This window comes from Homo sapiens, chromosome 2 (assembly GCF_000001405.40).
Source record: "Homo sapiens chromosome 2, GRCh38.p14 Primary Assembly".
Taxonomy (NCBI): domain Eukaryota; kingdom Metazoa; phylum Chordata; class Mammalia; order Primates; family Hominidae; genus Homo; species Homo sapiens.
In genome coordinates, this window is record NC_000002.12 from 764433 (window position 1) to 783164 (window position 18732).

The following is an 18732-nucleotide window of genomic DNA, read 5'->3' on the forward strand; positions in this document are numbered from 1 at the left end:
TTCCAGAGCCTTTAACTGTCCAGTCTTTGCCGGTCAGTGTATCTGACTCTTGTCCACGTGTGGGGGCCAATATTCTTCACCGTCTTGCTGCTGTGTGGTCAGGGTTTTCAGCAGGTGGTCCTCTAATGGGCTGGTTCCACCATGTGCCAAAGACCCTGGAGCCATTTTCTAACACAGTGTAGCAGGTACCATGTTTGGGAGACTTGGTGCTTTCTACTCTGGGCCAGAAAGATAGAACTTGTTAAGAAGCATTGGAACATGCCTACCTTCGTGAATGTTTCACTGATTCTAGCCTTGATATTGACTTGGTCTTTTAAAAACTTGATTTGGAAAAAAAAAGTACCTACTCTTAGAAAATACTACAGGGTGCTTTTCTGCCCCACTACATCTCTAAATGTGGTTCACTGCAGTGGTCACAGATGGCTGGCACTGCTTTTTCCTTGAGAGATGCTGTCTATGTCCCCTGCCCTTGAGCTCGGCCGGCTCCTGCGAAATTGTCACTGCTGAGTATTGGGGTTATTGACTGAAGGACATGCCGGGCTTGAGTTTGCAGGCTCAGCTCCTAAGAGATCATAGCTTCCTCTCCCACCTCTTGGAACACTTGCTTTTGGAAGCCACAAGGAGACCCATGGAAAAGACTGGGCCCTTCAAGCTAAACTGAGCTCTCAGGACAGCAGCCGGACCTGCATCTCCTGAGGGCCTCCATCCTGGCCCTGCACCCTCCAGCTCCAGTGACCAGGCCTGGCTTGCGATGAGCCACCCCGGACAGAAGCTCTCTGGGTTTCAGATCTGCAGACAAAATAAATGATTGGACTTTTGTGAAGCCACTAAGTTTTGGCTAAGATTTGTGATACAGCAGTACATAGTTGGAACATTAAGTGTTGGATGTTTTTCTAACAAAGGAATCGTATACACCAATATTTTATTTTACAATAATAAAATTTAAAATGTTAAGCTAATAAAATTAAGCTCAAAAGAAATATGATTACAGAGATATTTTACTTACATGTGTAATATATGCAATGTACACTCATGTGTGGACGCTTATGTGAATGTGTGTACATGTGCATTCAATACACGTACATGGCTGTGCACATCTGTGCTGATATGTACATGTGCAAACATGTGCATTGCTGTGCATGTATGTGTATACATGAGTGTACATGTGTGTGCATGTGTGTACATGTGTACGTGCGTGCACGTATGAATGTGTGTGTGCATGTGGGTGCTGCATTAGTGTATTTGGAGCACGTGCTTGGTTTATGCTCAGTGTTCAATGAGGCCACCTCATTTCCTTCTGCAGGGTGTCCTACCTGGCTCTCTCTCAGTAAGATACTTACTCCTCTCCGCCCTGTACCTACCAAGGAGACTGAGGCAGAGGAAGGCAGTGAGTGGCTCAGCAGCTGAGAGGAAAGCCTGGGAGGAGCCCTGGGCCTCTCTGTGTCTCTACGGAGCGAGCTGCTGCTGCTGTTTCACTGCTCTGCACCCCGGTGCCCTCACCTATGCAACAGGATGCCACAGTCACCCTCGGTCAGGTGCTGGGAAAGCCAGACCAGGTCAGAGACCTGCAGCCCCCATGCACTCATCGCCAATCCCCCGAGCTTCCAACACCAGAGCCACAGGACAGAAATGCTGGTATCAGGCTCTAAAATCTCTCCATAGGCTAACAGTTTTGCTGATGAAGACCAGCTGCCACCTCTTCCACCAAGAGGGAAATGTCTGTTGAGTGGATGGAGTCCACCATGAGCAGGTCTGAAGCAGGAGGCGGCAGCGGGAGGCTGATTCTCACCATTGCTCACTGGACTCAATTATCTGCTTCAGAATATGAATGATGTGCTTCCTACACAGAATGAAAACGCTGCATGCGATTGCATGACTTGTGAGTAAACATCACGAAACCAGAGTTTAGAAATGAAAAATGCTCCAGGCTGGGGTGGGGCTGTCGGAGGTCTGGGTTCAGCTGCTTTCTCTCAAGGGGATGCGTCACTGTCTGTGTCCCTGGAGCAGGCCACGGAGGAGAGGTCAGCACAGGCAACAGGACCATGGTGTTGGCCTTGGGGGAGGCGAGGAAGCTGGACTGAGCTCTCACCGGGGTTGGTCTGAGGCCCGGCACCTGTGGTTGGAGTGGGCCCTCGGGATGGCCAGTGAGTAGGTGGGCGACAATCAGACCCCACCAGGGGCAGGTTGACCAGGCCTCAGACAGTAGCATCACGGCCACGCCAGCTGAGAGGTGCAGGAGAGGAAAACTGAAGTTCCTTACTGGGAACTGAGGGCCCAAGGTGAGCCAGCAAGAGAAGCCAAAAGTAAGGTCGGTATTTCCTTAGCCAGGGTTTCAACCAGTTCAAGGGGAGAATGTGCCACCATTTATCAGAGAGATGTGTTATCTGTAAAATGCACCACCAAGGATACAAGCAAGACAGGAACGTGGGTGGTCGCTGTGGGCAGCGTCTTGCAGAGCAGGGCACTGAGGATCAGGGAGGTTCAGAACCTTCCAGGGACCAAGGACCCTCCTTGCCCACAAGGGACACCAAGTCCTGGGATGTGGGACACCCATCCAGGGTCCATGAGAGTCCACCATGAGGACGCATAGCCTTGCCATAGCCACAGAGGATCCAGTGGGCAGGAGGTTGGGTGTGGGGTAGGAAAAGCAGGCAAGGTCCAAGTTACAGAGAAAAAATACAATGAAAAACAATAGCAAGGTCCCAGGATCTGCGAAGGAAGACACAGACCTAAGGCAGCAGGACAGCAGGTCGGAGAGGCTTTTATTTTGTTTGGACCTGGAAAAAGATTGCCTTTGGTTTAAAAAGGCAAGTCAGATCCTAAAATAAGAATTAATGAGCCCTGGTCCTAGTAATGATGGTTAGAAGAGCAAGGATGGGGAGTAAAGGAGATTGTTACAATCAAAAAGTTTTCTATTTCATGTACTTATTTTAAGGAGAGGAAATGAAAATACGAACAGTGAACCTATTCAGATATCCAGGGTTACAGAGCTTTTTTTATTATAGTTTCCTAAATATTTCGGGCACTCTTCCTGCAACATTAGCTCAGCATCTACTGAGAAATACAAGAACATCTGTGGTTTAACTAGAAGAAACTTCTAGTCTATTCAGAGCCTGAACCCCTGCGGCTTGCAGGTACCCACGCCTGCACCACGTGATCCCCATCTGCTGGCCCCATCCCCGGGAACCACCACAGCAGGGGCCTTCTGGTTGCCTCACCTCCCACCCTCGCAGTTTGCCTTTGCGGGTTTAACGACTCTCCCAACCAAATCCTGTGGGTGACGCAAAGCAGCCACAGCAGGCAATTCACAAATAATACATTGTAAACATTTAAATAATTTCTGTAAATTCCAAAGCTAGTTGATTCTCACAAAAAGATTTCATTGATTTCTGCTGAATTCTTTGATCCATAGCTAATCTAGGATTTAAATTTAATGATGATTTGATAAATGGAGTTGTATTCCAATCCATTAACTCTTTTCCCAATAAATTAAACTTAAATTTGACATGTGACAGACTGATAAATGGTTTCCCAGCCTCATATAAATTATATTAATGAAACCAAAGCCTCTTTTTACTTCAGAGTCACGTGTTCTGGAACTTCATTCACTGGTTACCTTTGCTGATTTTGGAAAATAGATTTCAAATACTGAAAACATATTTTGTGGCTCGATAGCCAGAAACCACAGAGGCCCCCAAGGCTGATTCACGCCTGGGACACTGTGCTGGCTTCCGCAAACCTGTCTTTTAGGATGCACTTGGGGTAGCAGAGAAATTCATTATTTAGCTCTGTAAATCTTAGGCTTAAACACATTTTTTCTTCTTAATAGAGTCAACTCTAATGGATATTACTGAGTTATGAATCTATGGTACAAATTTCATGTGATATTGTGATTATTTAAGTTAAAATTGGGCATGAATTAACATTTACTCTTATAAGACCAAGTCCCTTAGATAACTAGGGCTGAGTGACCACACTGTGCTTCCTTTCATTTTTAAAAAATAGTACCTCAGGGTCTCATGGACAGTTAGTAAATTCAAAAATTCGCATTCCCACCAGGATATTTGACATCATCTAACGCTACAAACTCTATCGACCTTTTCATAATTGCTTCCTGATGACTGCAGTGCTGTGATAATGAGCCTGGTTATGATTTGCCACACGGCAGGGGTTTGTATTTAAGTGAAACGGTGAATCCACACCCAAGGACTCCCAGATGCCGTCCTGTTCAGACTCCCACAGAACCCGTCATGTCTCAGGGGTGGGAAGGGCAGAAGGAAGTACAGAAGCCAGAAGCATCGTGTGAAAGAACCTTCCACTAGACATGGGCGTGGTGACTGGCAGTTAATCCTGGTGAGATCACTAGTATTAGTGAGTGATACGGTTTGGCTGTGTCCCCACCCAAATCCCATCTTGAATTGTAGTTCCTATAGTCCCCATATGTCTTGGGATGGACCCAGTGGGAGGTAGTTTAATCAGGGGGGCGGTTACCCTCATGTTGTTCTCGTAATAATGAGTGAGTTCTCATGAGATCTGATAGTTTTACGTGGGACTTTTCCCCCTTTGCTTGGCACTTCTCTCTCCTGCCACCATGTGAAGAAGGACGTGTTTGCTTCCCCTTCCACCATGACTGTAAGTTTCCTGACCCTCCTAAGCCATGCTGAACTGTGAGTCGATTAAACCTCTTTGCTTTATAAAGTACCCAATTTTGGGTATGTCTTTATTAGCAGCATGATAATACACTAATACAGTGATAATTACTTAAAGTAAGGACTTTTATGTGCTAGAGATTGATAGGAGAACTTTACAGTTGAATCCTTGTAACAATTTATGATTTTCATGATCTCATTTATTTACCTTAACTTTGCATCACCCTTGTTTCATTATCACCAGGCAGGCTGACTTTCTTGGTCTTCTAGGGAAGAATTTCATGCATTTAATGACCACACCAAGATAAATTACATTGACTATGAAACAGTAGAGAACACAAAGTATTAGAGATGTTATGAAAAGTTTTATTTTTGTCATATGGATACTAAAATTTGATTATAGGCCAGGTGAGGTGGCTCATACCTATAATCCTAGCACTTTTAGAGGCCTAGTAGGAGGATCGCTTGAGCCCAGGTGTTTAAGACCAGCCTGGGCAACAAAGCGAGACTGCATCTCTACAAAAAATATAAACAAATAAAATTACCCAGGCATGGTGGCATGTGCCTTTGGTCCCAGCTACTCAGGAGGCTGAGGGGGAGGATTCTTCGAGCCCAGAAGTTCAAGGCTGCAGTAAGCTAGCCAGCCAGCCTGGAAAATAGAGTGAGACCTTGTCTCGAAAAATAAGTAAGTAAGTAAATACACAAAGATATAAAATTTGATTGTAAGGGAGGTTTTAGCTTGGATTTCAGGGAAAAAAGGGTTTTTCAAAGGCAAAGATAAAATATTTTAAGGATGAGTGAAGAGATGGAAGTGAGTGTTTATAAAGATGCCTTTTCTTTACATCCCGGCCCATGGCTTCCTGTGTGACTCAGAGTAACAGCAGAGGCCCCAGTGTGGTCTTCGTGGCCTCTGAGGCTCCCTTCCCACTCTGTGCCATGGCAACACCCCCATTTCTGTTCCTTGGGCACATTTCCTTCTCAGGCCCTCTCACTTGTCATTTCTTCTTCTGGGCACCATCTTTTCCTGAATCCATGCTGGCATCCTTTGAGGTTTCAACCCCAATAACATCTTTTGCATGAGATCTTCTCTGAGTACCTTTTATAAAATAACAAAGAGCACACTTTCTCCCCCACAATATCTAGAGCTCCAGTCTGGAACAGAGGGGCTCCACAGATATCAGATAGGCTAAAGTTGTGAAACTTCCAAAAACTCTTGGGATGATAATTATACTGTTGACCCTTGAATAACTTGGGGCTTAGGGGTGCTGAGCCTTCACACAGTTGAAAATCCACATATAACTTTTTGTTTCCCCAAAATGTAACTATGAATAGCCTACTGTTGACCAAAGTCTTACTGACAACATAAAAAGCTGATGAAGACATATTTTCTATGTTCTATGCATTATCTACTGTATTCTCCCAAAGAAGGAAGGTGGAGAAAAGAAAATGATATTCAGGAAACCATAAGGAAGAGAAAGTACATTCACCATTCATTAAGTGGAGGTAGACCATATAAAGGTCTTCATTCTTGTCTTCCTGTTGAGCAGGCTGAGGAGGAGGGGGGAGAAGAGGGGTCAATGTGGCTGTTTCAGAGGTGGTAGAGCAGGTAGAAACAGGTGTGTAAGGGACCTGCTCAGCATACATCTGTGCTGTGGGAGAGGAGAGGTCAGTATGGCTGATTCAGAGGTGGTGGAGCAGGTAGAAAACAGACATGTAAGGGACCTGCACAGTGTACATCTGTGCTGTGCACAGGCCAACTCCATTCATTCCCTGGAGAACTCAGCTAGCCCCCAAGGCTTCAGTCACATGGTTTTCTAAGATCTAAGATTAAGGTTCAATATTATGTGAGCTTTGGCATCAGGGGAAATCAAGAGGCCCCAAATGACCTTGCCACTGTCCCCTCCACACTCTGCTCCCTTGGGTGAGACCCCATAGACAAATGCCCCCCTCCTCCCAGGGACCAGGCACCAGCTCCACCTGAGCAGAGAGCCTCATTCAGCTCCTGGCCGGCTGGCAAAACTGTTCAAGTCAGTCAATTCCATCATTCTTCAGGAGCCAGGCATTGCCTCCCCGTCTTGTTACTACCAAGCCTGCCTCCCGAGGCCCTGTCTCTTCACACGGCTCCCGAGGCACCCTCAGGTGGTCTGCAGTGCTCCTGCCCAGGGCTGTGATTAATAACCTGCTGTCTGTCCATCTGCCCAGAGCCCAGGGTCCTGTGTTCTGCCCTTCCCAGGACTCCAGGGCGGGACCCATTCTCATCCATGGGAAAAAGAGGTGGGGATTAAATACCCTTTCCAAGAATGGACTCCAAAGTCTATTTCTCATGCATCTCCTGCTGTGCCTATCTATTCAGGGTAGTGTCTTCTCAAATCCACACAGGGCAGCTTCTCCGTGTTGCTCTCTAACATACCGAGGATGGAGCCCAGCTCAGCAGCTGACGCGACACAGACCCTCCATCAACAGTGCATGGGAAAGTTGACCAATGACCTCCTGAGAAGTCAAAGCAGCCCTACACAGGCTGCTCTGAGCATAACGCCCAGCCCGGCTCCACAGCCACACGGGCTCCTGGGTAGACAGGTGACCTGGTGTCAGAGTCACCAGTGAGGGTGAGTGCAGCCAGCCGTGCAAGTGAGCATAACGCCCAGCCCGGCTCCACAGCCACACGGGCTCCTGGGTGGACAGGTGACCCGGTGTCGGATTCACCAGTGAGGGTGAGTGCAGCCAGCCATGCAAGTGAGCCCACCAGAGCTGCTTCGCTCGGGGTAGGCTGGGGAGATCACCTCTGAGGCCGCAGGGTCAGGGTGGCTTTTCTGGAGACCCAGACCATGAGCCAGCTCAGAGAGGTGCCTGCTGCTCAGCAACTGTCAGGCCTTCAGCATTTAAGGATCTTCACAACGTTGTCTTCCTTGTACACCTGGCATATTCCTAGTTATCCAATATTCATCTTTAAACTGAATTAATTTAACTATTTAATAGTCTCATATGAAATTATCCATGAAAATTGTGGGTCTGCTATTTAGATATTTAATTTAATGGTAGGTCAACACCAATTTGTTTCTGGAAGTCTGACTAGAAAACGAGATGGTGTGTGAAAGTTAAAGAGTGTCTGAGACGGAGGGTAAATTCTGGAATTTCACGTGTTAGGATGTATACACAGAATATATGGAAAATGGCAGGGAAAGAATCATTTGAAGAGAAACCGGCGAGAAATAGCACGTGAATTCGAGGACTCTGCATTTTATCCAAGGCCCTGAGACACGGCCACCAACAACAGGTGAGAAGCAGTTCATGGAACCCTAGAGCATAAACCACCCCATTTCCCAAAGGACAGCAATGCCCTGGACCCGGCACTGAATTAAGAAGAAAAGCAGGAGGGAAGAAAGGCGTAAACGGGACACAGCAAGGAAATTCAGAGCGGGGGCCCAGGAGCTGGGTCTGGACAATGGAGGGTGACCACCCAGGACACCAGCTGGTGCTGTGGGACCGGGTGCTGCCTCAGGTTCCCACCGCAGTGTGGGCCGGCCAAGGCTCCGGGCAGCTAATTTATGCCATTTGACTTCATTAACCCGTGTGGGGGCAAATATCTCTAAAAGCTGAATGGACACTTTAGGAGTGACATTCCCTAAAACCCCACTCTTTGTATATCACGGTCCTTAAGAGAAGAGGGGCTGATGGTGTGGGATCTGTGAGACCGTGGTCAGTCGCTGCATTTCAGGCCTCCAACGCTGCTTACTTTGATCTAAAATATAACCAGAAGAACCACAGGTTTTTAATTCCAGAAGAGGTTGAATTCCTGACTCTGTTATTACCGTCTGTGATCCTGGGCAGAGTACATCTTCTGTTTGAGTTTTATCAGCCCAAAAAGGGCACCGTGTTACTTCAGAGATGGTGGTAAGAGCACTAAATGAGTGAACGGTGTCAACATCTGAGAAAGATGTGGCCCGTCCCAGGTCAACCACGCATGGTGATTAGAACTGTGTTAACCATCAGCTCAGGCCCTATGTGGAATTTCCTTCACTTATGAAAAAATGTAGAAAAAAATCATTTTCTTAAATGGTGAATGCATCTGAGTACCTTGGAGGAAACTGCTGAGGGAGCATCCAAGTGAAAATCCCCGGCTGCAGCACACACGTGCTCACACAGTCAGTGCACAAACAGGCAGCTTCTGTGCTCCCGCACTGTTGGGTTAAAGACAACAATGTCATCCTCTTAATTAGACAAATGTGTGGCTTCCAAGGGCTTCTGTCCGAGGAGACTGTGTGCAGCCTTGGATGTTCCTGCTGCCTGTGCTCATTGTCACTCTGAGAGTTTCGTTGGGGTTTGTCCACACCACACTTGCATGAAAGGATGGGTCTTGGGGTGTCTGGCTCACCTCTTATCTCCAGCACTTTAGTTAATAATTGTCTTTTGAAGGAAGAAACACATGTGAAGAGGGCCAACTGCTGGTGGAGCGTGAGGCGTGTACCTGGTGTGAACACGGGCTCCCATGCCCACAGCCTGGTGCCAGTGCCCCCCCAGCAGGTACCCTGTCCCCCAGGCCTGGCGCCCCCACCTAGCAGGCATCCTCTCCCCCAGTCTGGTGCCCCCACCCAGCAGACACACTGGCTCCCATCCTGTTTCCCCCCAGCAGGCACCCTGTGACCCTCAGAATGGAACCCCACCCAGCAGGCACTGTCCCCCAGCCTGATGCCCCACCCAGCAGACACGCCGTCCCCCAGCCTGCCCCCCAAGCAGGAACACTCTCTGCCAGCTTGAAGCCCCACCCAGCAGACACACTGTCCCACAGTCTGGTGCCCCCACCCAGCAGGCACGCTGTCCCCCAGCCTGGTGCCCCACCCAGCAGACACATTGTCCCCCAGCCTGGTGCCCCCACCCAGCAGGCACCCTGTGACCCCCAGCCTGGCACCCAGCAGACACACTGTCCCCCAGGCTGCCCCCCGAGCAGGAACACTGTCCCCCAGCTTGAAGCCCCACCCAGCAGACACACTGTCCCCCAGTCTGGTGCCCCCACCCAGCAGACACACTGGCCCCCATCCTGCCTCCCCACAGCAGGCACCCTGTGACCCCTAGAATGGAGCCCCACCCAGCAGACACATTGTCCCCCAGCCTGGCTCACCCACCCAGCAGGCACCGTGTGACCCCCAGCCTGGTGCACCCGAGAGGCAGGAGTGGGCTGCACGGGGTCTGAGGAGGGGAAGTGAGGTGAGGTTGTGTTCTAGAAAGCTGGCCATTGGCACTGTGGAAAGCACTGAGGATGGGAAGCTTAGGTGGACCTGAAATAACTGAGGCAGCTTAAACAATGAAGAGTTTATTCGAGCCAAATTAGAGGGATGGCAGGAAAGTTTCAGGGTACCTTGAGAAACGTCCTGGAGAACAAAAGAGAGATCTGAGCCTTTAAGGAAAAGGACAAAGGAGAGGGGGTATCATAGAGGCTGTTTTCAGGATTACAGTCCACGTGTGATGGTATTTGAGGTGGTGTGGAGGCAGGGGCCTGCCTGTGACGGTCTGAAAGGGCCCTTCTGGCTGGCAGGTGTGTGGCTGGGCAGTGACTCAGCAGGAAGCAGTGATCCCTGGGGGGCCCGGAATTCTTCCTTTCAGGCCTGCCTGAGGCTCCAGCCAAAAAGCCCTCCAGGCTGCATCAGGAGCTTGAGGAGCCATCACTGCCAGGGGGTTATTATTGGTCTGTTGGAGTCTGTTGGAAGGGGATGCTCCGCTGGCGGGTGTATTTTTAAAAGTAGCCACACCTCGGAAATATGTAAGACTCTGCCCCCATGAACATCAATTAAGCCTGATAACCGATTACAGCTTCCAGCAGCCACATTCCCCTTATAGATCCATAATATGAAAATAAATTGCCTTACTGTTACATTACACCGAAAAAAAATTGAAACTGAATTTACAAAAATTTCCAGGGAGTGAATCAATGTTCCACAGCCAGTACAAGGCATTTTCTTCCCAAAAGAAGGCCCTTCACCTCAGTTAGATAATTAATAGCTAATCACCTAGCTGTGTGTGTCACCGTGCTTGGAAAAACCCAGTGCGTTTGGGAGTTGTGAGACTCTTCCCCTCACTTTTTTGTTCCTAAAAATCACGACAGCAAGTGCAGCATTGAGGAACATGACGGATCTGAAATGAATCTGGTGTGAATCCAACGCAGTCATTTTCATGTTGTGCTCACCTCTGATTCCACAGGGCCTGATTATTCACTAGTTTTAAAACCCTTTTCATTATTTAGAAATGACAGAGTGGATTAAAGAAAAAACTGTGAGAGGGACAATTATAGGAACAGCATGAAAGTTTTAATGAACAGTTTCCAAATCAGCACCTGGAATAAGGCATGGGCGTCTTCTTCATCGCTCATGGAAATACACAGCGGCATCATCATCTTAATAAAAAGGCCAAAAATACATTTTAACTTCAGCCAACCTCACCTGCTTAATTATTAAATGCGGGGGTGGTTGTAAAAGCACTTAAGTCACTATTCTGGATGAGAATGTTCCTTATTTTTAGTTCTCAAAATGTGAAGGAATTAATTCTCATTCTCATTCAAATAACTTACTGTGCCCAACATCGTGAATGAAGTAAAGAAATGCATAAATTTATCTTATTCTATCTTTTACCATTCATGTTTCTTTCGCTCTCAAATTTAGAATTGTGACCAGGTTTACAATTGTTTTATTATTTTTATTTTATACTTCTAAACTAAAATATTTACTCCTAAATACATACCAGATATATATCTAAACAATCATGTATTAGTATGTAGAAGTGTATAATAAATAACTACAAATAACAAGGTTTTTGAGAAAAAATAAAATCTACAAAAAGTAGATATCCAAATGTGACTTAAAACTCACCATAGCTTTTTGAAAACCTCCATAATCCCTCACAGTAGTTGTTCTCCCTGGGTTGCTTTTAATTATGCAGAGGGTGGCGATTTGAATGGCCACCACATTTGAGTTGCAACACAGATACAGCCACGGTTCATGAAGAGATGTCTCAGTGATAGTGTGAATTAAAAAAAAAAAAAAAAAAACCTAGTGGAAAGGAAGGCATCACAGAAGTTGGCCAGTACTTAGAGGTGGAAATGAGACATTGCTGTCGTGCATTTATAAGTGGAGATCAGCCCTCACATGGGCTTGGAGTTCAACTTTGCTTTGTGTAGAATAACAGTCTCCCAGCTGGTAAAATAACACGAAGTTATTCTCCGGCCATTGGCAGCTGCGGGGGGTACTGACAGAAGTAAATGTAAAAATAACCCTAAATATCTCATATTTTGGGTGCTCTTATAAATGGTAATTTTTTTAAAAGTTACAATTTCCAATCACTTGTTGCTATTACGTAAAAACTCAACTTATTTTTAGGTATTGGCTGAGTGTCCTGAAAACTTGCTAAACTCATGTACTTATCTTAGTAGCTTTTTCCTAAATTCCCTGTGATTCTCTGCGTAGACAAGCATGTCTTCTGAATGGAGGCAGCTGTTGGTCTTTTTCTCCCGGCCTCATTACCCTGGGCAGGACGTCCGGCGTGAGGCTCCTGGGAGGGAGACGGACTGCAGGGAACCCCTCCATCCCATGCTACGTGGGACGCTGGCTCTAGGGTTTTCATCAAGGCCCTGGAGGAGCTTGAGGAAGCTCCCTCGTTCTAGTCCTTGTTTGCTAGCACCTGTTTGTTTTTTGAGTCAGTGTTTGATTTTGTGAAATGTGTTTTCTGCATGTACTGAGGTAGTCACGGGTTTCTCTTTCTGTAAACAGGACAAATCCATCAATGTCACCTGAATGTTCAACCAAGCGAGGAGCTGTGTTCCCTGCTGGATCGAAACCTGTGGTTATGAGCCCAGCATCTGTGTTCACGAAGGCTGCTGCGCAGCCGCTCTTGCCTCTGGGTTTGGTATCGGGGTGATGCTGGCTGGATTGCATAAGTGGGGGAATGGTCCTTCTCCTTGAGTTTGTGAAGGAATTCATGGGGCATGGGCATCATTTCATTCCTATCTTGGCAGGAGTCACAGCAGAGCCCTCCGGGCTGAGTTTCTTTGTGGAAACCCTTCCCCATCCCGGACGCTTCCCAGCTGGGCCTCGGGCCACCACGGCTGTGGCTCTGGCCTCCCCAGTGTCCTCCTGAAACTCCTTCTGAGTGGTGTCTGGACGTCGACGGTGCCTCATCTGTCCGGACATCACGGCCCTGCGTGTCCTGTCCCAAATCTCCCCAGCCCGCAGCCCTGCTCCCCGGCACTGGAAGGCAGTTCAGGGCTGTCTTGCTGTTTCCTGGAGGTGGCTGTGAAAGGTCTGAAGTAAGTGTTCTCAGCCCTGCGGTCAGTTGGGCCCTTCCTCGGCTGTCTCAGGTGGGAATGGGAGGCAGGGAAGACCCATGGTCTCTAAAAGTCTGTCAGTTCCTGGGAGGGCCCAACGCTGGGCTCACGAACCTGACCTCTGGGACATGGCCTTTCTCTGTGTGCTCTGGGCCGTCTGGAGTGGGAACGGTCCACTCTTCATGAGCAACAGCATATGGTGCTTATCCAGGTATGCACAGAGGCCGAGTGCTCCCTGGTAGGTGGTCCCAGGAGCCCCTGACTGTGTCAGGCTGCAGAGGTGGATGTGGCTCCCATCCCTAAACCAACTGAGGCTGCCAGCTCCACCCTCTACCCTGTACAGTGGATCAGGACACCTGCCTGGGCCATCCCACGTCATGGCCTGGAGAATGAGACCACATCTGGTCATCACAGGCAGCTCAGTCTGCAGGTCGCCAGACAGCCCGCAGCCAGCACCCAGGTTTAGGGGGCCCAGGGGGCCATGGGGGCTGACACAGGACAGGCAGCATCTGCCCCAAAAGGCGACGCTGACTCTGGGCTTGCCGAATCCATGTGGGGCAACTGAGACCCCCAGAGATTCCCCACAGAGCCCTGATCACAGGGATACATCAGCCAGCACCTTCTGACCTCCTGGGCCCCACAGGCTGAGGGGGACAGCAGGCATCCTGCAGCCACAGGACAGCCTTGGGTGAAGCTGGGCATCCACAAATCACCCGATAAAGGGTAGGAGTGACCCCGAGTGCAGTGTGCACACCAGGGTCCAGGATCCTGCTAAGGCTGCTGTGTTTCCTCTGCAGAGACATAAACACGATGACGTGCTGGGCTCAGCAGAAGGCTGCCGCCCTCCTGTGTCCAGGACCACAGGACTCCGAAGGCCCCGTGTGTCCTCCTGGGGCCTTAGGGAACTTGGCAGGGCTGCCCACTGGCTCTGTCGGCACGAGGCCTTCAGAATTACAAACTTTGGAAGAATTTCTCAAGCTATCAGAACAACCGAGGTCCCTGTGCACGGCTCTGTGGACGTGAGTTGGTCCTGCAACAGGCAACAGTGCATTTGCTGGTGAGGGGAGCCCAGCAAGGGCAGGAGTGGCGTCAGTCTGTCCAGTTACAAAACATAGCAATGGGACAAGATCCAGTAGGCCCCGTGTTTGCCAGTAGACACTCACTCTCTTCCACAACCCGAGCAGGCACCACGCAGGGGAGAGCCGAGGGGTGTGGAATGGACCCCACCTGCACTCACCCCCATGCCCATGGCCAGTTCCTCTTTTTGCTTCAGGAAAACGTCGTTTTCCCCTGGAAACCAGCGTTTGATTCACCGACTCGCACAGTAGGCAGCCTGGAGACGGCCGTCTTCTTAGCTGGGACACCAGGCACTCCAGGGCTTTTGTTTTCCCTCCTATGGTGTCATCATAGACACGACCTCACACTATCTGCTTATCACAGTGTAAAGCTCTTCGGAAGAACAACCTTCACATCAGCATTTGTTATGAGTGACAGGGGAGGGAGCAAAACCTCCTCCTCCAACCCATGTTTTCGCATCATTTTTCATCTGCGGAGAAACCCAAGCCATCCCCACCCCCAGGAATGTAAGGACAGAAACTGAAGTCCTCATCATTCTGCCTCTGGTCTTCCTGTTAATAAAAAATAAGTCTGTGTTAATTAGATTTGGAAGATGAGTTTTCCATCCAGGCACTTTTCCCTGAATTATCCTCGTCCGCACGAGCGACTCTTTCCAGGGCTGGAGCTCACGGCTGGGCTGTGGCCTGTGCCGTCCCGTGGAGGTTAGAAGGTGGGCGCAGATGTGCTCAGCTTCCTGAGAGACGTCTCATTATAACGCCGCCCCAGGCAGTAATTTGATCTTTTTTTCTTTTAAAAGATGAAATTCCGCTTTTATCCCTTTGGTTATAGTCCATAGCTCCTCTGCTTGTTAAACCTTAAGGAAAAGACTAAAATCTTTTGCCACTATTTTGTCGGTATGTATTTCAAAAAGAAAAATAACAATATACCTATTGCATTAAAAATGTTTTGATCTGATTATAGCTACAAGGTAATAGATATTAAAGAATCTAGTGCTCTCCCATATGACAATTATAAATGGTACATTTTCCTTATTCCAGGAAATGTTACAAAAATTTGGGAACACTAAATTAATATAATTTGCCCAAAGGTGCTTATGTCTGTCTAGAGGATGGCATAAGTTCATTGTAGTATAGATAATGCATATCATACAAATCGTGTTCAGAAACCCCTGCTAAAACCAGTCTCCTTGTTTTATGATCACATTATATGAAGGAGTAAATGCTGTATCAGATATTCCAGGAATAAAACTTGCTTATCAAAATCACCCTACACAACACCTCAGTGTCCAAGGGAACATAAAAGGTAATGTCAAGGGTTCCCGCATATCAACATAAATGTGATTTTCAGATAAGCAATTACAGCATAGTCCACAGTAATATCCGACATTTTTATTGCTCGAATATTTTTGTAATAAGGAAAAATAGTTCAGTACAAATTTATGATATTTTTACAGTAGATTGAAACTAGTATTTTCTAAATATTTGAATTTTCCGATCGATTGATTTTATCCATTATCCTCTTCTAAAGTATCAATCCAGTGGATTTTCTAGGATCAAAAATTAGCAACAATTGTATATGTACTTTCACTATGGAGAATCTTGTGTGCACCTACAGTATACCAGGTCATCTTAGGCAGGCATGTAGTTACAGTATTCGACACTGTGGGGTTATCTGATGACCTCGCAGACCCCGTAACGCAGGTTGACCTGTGTCTGTTTTCGAGGACAATGGGAGTGCTTCCTGACACTCGGCCTCATCAGCTCCATGGGGGTCAGGCCTGCCGGGACCCCTGCTGCTGGCTTCATCCTTCTCTTCGGAAGAATTCCCTTTTTCCCCTTTTCCCAGTGGAAGGCTCTGCTTTCTGCCACACTGCAGGCCACCGGAAACCCCAGCTTTCTCTGGCCCCACACAGGTCTTTGAGAAAAGGGAAAGATGAACATGGCCAAGCCGCCATCAGGTGAAGGACTGAGCCTTGTGTGCCCATCCTTGGCCTTCCCTGGTGTCACTGTTCAGCAGGGAATGTTCTGGAGCAAAGAGGCCAGAGCAGGCGGTGCTTCCAGCAAGTGCAGCCACAGGTGAGAGACACTCACTGTTCTCATCGTGATCAACTCAACAGTGCACAGCTCTAAATTTAAAAAAAGAGAGTCTACTGTGGTTTCAACGTGTGACCCTTCAAATTCATGTTGAAACTGAATCCCATTGTGGTGGCGTGAGGATGCGGGGCCCTTGGGAAGTGAAGGGATGATTGCCTTGTGCAGGGGCTGGAGGAAGGCGGCTAAGGCTGCCACAGGCCTTCCGCCTACCACCCAGTGAGGACCAGGCACCCGCCCCAAGGCCACCTTGGATACAGACAGCAGCCTTCACCAGACACCGACCCTGCCAGCAACTTGATCTTGGACTCCCAGCCTTCAGCACTGTGAAAAATAAATTTCCATTGCTTTTAAGTTACTTTCTATTACTTGTGAATTACCCAGTCTGTGGTATTTTGTTACAGCAGCACGGAGGGACAGAGACACACGCACACTCAACTCAAGCTTAGCAACTGGACTGGTGTTCCTTCTCACTTCTTAGTCACCTTTTTCCCAACAGAAACATCCTATTTCATCTCTGTATTTTATTTCTATATGGAAGAGCCTGAAAACAGTGTCTCTGCTGACATGAGCTATGTTATATTTCTTCATGAAAGTTAATATTCCCCACATTCCAAGCCAAGACTTAAAAAGTTACAATTGCCAGCCTTGGTGGCTCATGCCTGTAAGCTCAGCCCTTTGGGATGCTGAGGCAAGAGGATCTCTTAAGTCCAGGAGTTCAAAACCAGCCTGGGCAACATAGTGAGACCTTGTCTTTACAATTTTTTTTTTAATTAGCTGGGTGTGGTGGTGCACACTTGTAGTCCTAGCTATTCAGGGGGCTAAGGTGGAAGGGTCATTTGAGCCCAGGAGGTCGAGGCTGCAGTGAGCCATGATTGTGTCACTGCACTCCAGCCTGGGTGAGAGTGAGACTTTGTCTCAAAAAAAAAAAAAAAAAAAAAAAAAAGTCACAGTATTAACTCTGACAGATAGGAAATTCATTTTTTAGGTCAGTAAGTTAAAGCCCTAAATGCTCCCAGATGGAATAGATTTTGATGAAGTGTCAAGGTTTACAGATTTCTCAATATATATTTTCCAAGAATATTTTCAATTTTCTGCACAGAAAACACTTTGACTCTTGCCCTTCATTATCAGTGACCAGAATGTTCAAGCATTTGGCATTTGTTCACGTCTTCCCCCTCTCCCATCTTTCATTTCAAGTTTTAAAATTCCCATGCACAATTCCAGGCCACACCTGAAGGTGCTCCCCCTCCAAGCCGTCCCTGTGTCGTCTCCACCCTGGCTTCCTCCCTGACACCTGCCATGTGCTGACGCCCTTGCACTAGGGCCCCAGTGTCTGCCTTCATCCCCAGCGAACCGCTGAACTCAAGAGCAGGGTGCAGGTTGCTTTTTAGCAGGGGTCCTATTAGACACCTGAATGTAGTTCACCTTATAATTCATACCCCTGGGAACCCCTTGAGTGCCATGGGCACCTTCATCCAGGAATACTTACAGGGGAGTTTAGGGAGGAACTTTAGAAAGAACCTAGGAGAGTTCCATTTTGTTTTAAAGCCAGTTGGTCAGTTTGCAAGATGCTTAGCACAGCACCGTTCTGGTGACCAAGATAGCTCTTGTTTCTGGTGCCCTTGGAGTCTTGCTTTAGTTCCAAACTATACGCTTCATCAAGTTGCAAAATAAAAGGAAAAGAGAAGACACCCGAAACTTCTTAAACTAACAAAAATTTGAATTCAGAGTATGTAAAGAATACCTACAAATCAATAAAAGATGAAATAAAAACTGATGCAAAGTGGGCAAGAATTGCAAACTGTCACTCCAAAGACCAAAATTCATATGAATCATTAATAATCAGAAAATGTAAATGAAAAGCTTGATGAGATGCCTTTTATATCTAATACTGCAGCACTGCAAGGTCTGCCGATGCCAGGCAGTGTTGAATAGACTTTGTGGAGGGACAGCCCAGGTTGGTAAGCCAACATGATGCAGCCACCTTGGAGGCTATTTGGAATTGCCTGGAAATGAGCGGAATGGGCCAGGTAGTGACCATCAATCCACGCCTGGGCATGAGCTCCGGCACATTCTCTGCAGAGCGTGCCTGTCTCTTCTCAGACAGGATCCACCTCTGCCATGCTCTGGCCCAGGGAGGTGGTCTCTGGGGCCCATGACCTTAGCTGGTTGGCTGCTGGACCCCAGGCCCATTGGAAGGGAGGCCGGTGGGCAGAAGGGAGCCGGGGTGGAACAGTGTGGATGCTGTCCTATCCTAGAGCCGCATCCTTGCAGTCACTTTGGGATCAACACATACAACACAGAGCACCTGCTAAGCTCTCATGTCATATCAACAGCACCTTCTGTTCTAGTATAAATAGCTGCTGAGAACTGGATGGGACCTACTTAAAACGGGGGACTGTTTATCTGAAGTTTAAATTTAGGTGGGCATCCTGTATTTTTATTTGGCAAATCCAGCAATCCCGGCTGCTACCCACTCTCTGAACTCCCAGAACAACTCATTTCTTACCTGGTATTCTAGTTGCTTACACGAATTCTGTCACAAGCAAGCAATTTAAGTCCCATCTTTTACCATTACAGAGGCTGAGAAGATGAGTCTACGGGA

At 47.8% G+C, this 18732-nt stretch overlaps 2 long non-coding RNA genes across 7 annotated transcripts in view, besides 2 other annotated features; one reads left to right on the top strand and one right to left on the bottom strand.

The window, feature by feature from the left end:
- Positions 1–14616, top strand: part of LOC105373480 (uncharacterized) — a 39564-nt gene extending 24948 nt beyond the window's left edge. For 3 of the 5 annotated variants that reach the window (XR_007086128.1, XR_007086122.1, XR_007086107.1), the window contains exons 3-5: positions 1663–1879; positions 12404–12939; positions 13755–14616. This is a non-coding gene — a long non-coding RNA (uncharacterized LOC105373480). The remainder of the gene's footprint in view (positions 1–1662; positions 1880–12403; positions 12940–13754) is intronic. The other 2 variants (XR_007086101.1, XR_007086095.1) reach the window with 2 other exon arrangements.
- Positions 2117–2616: an enhancer, noted in NCBI's record as "H3K4me1 hESC enhancer chr2:766549-767048 (GRCh37/hg19 assembly coordinates)". NCBI's record gives its function as "activates a minimal SCP1, AML or CMV promoter by ChIP-STARR-seq in primed H9 embryonic stem cells {active_cell/tissue: H9 hESC(primed)}" and the evidence as "EXISTENCE:reporter gene assay evidence [ECO:0000049][PMID:30033119]".
- Positions 11771–12431: an enhancer, noted in NCBI's record as "H3K4me1 hESC enhancer chr2:776200-776860 (GRCh37/hg19 assembly coordinates)". NCBI's record gives its function as "activates a minimal SCP1, AML or CMV promoter by ChIP-STARR-seq in primed H9 embryonic stem cells {active_cell/tissue: H9 hESC(primed)}" and the evidence as "EXISTENCE:reporter gene assay evidence [ECO:0000049][PMID:30033119]".
- Positions 14617–15407: 791 nt separating the features above from the next.
- Positions 15408–18732, bottom strand: part of LINC01115 (long intergenic non-protein coding RNA 1115) — an 88587-nt gene continuing 85262 nt past the window's right edge. For both annotated transcript variants that reach the window (NR_111963.1, NR_033880.3), the window contains one exon: positions 15408–16159. This is a non-coding gene — a long non-coding RNA (long intergenic non-protein coding RNA 1115). The remainder of the gene's footprint in view (positions 16160–18732) is intronic.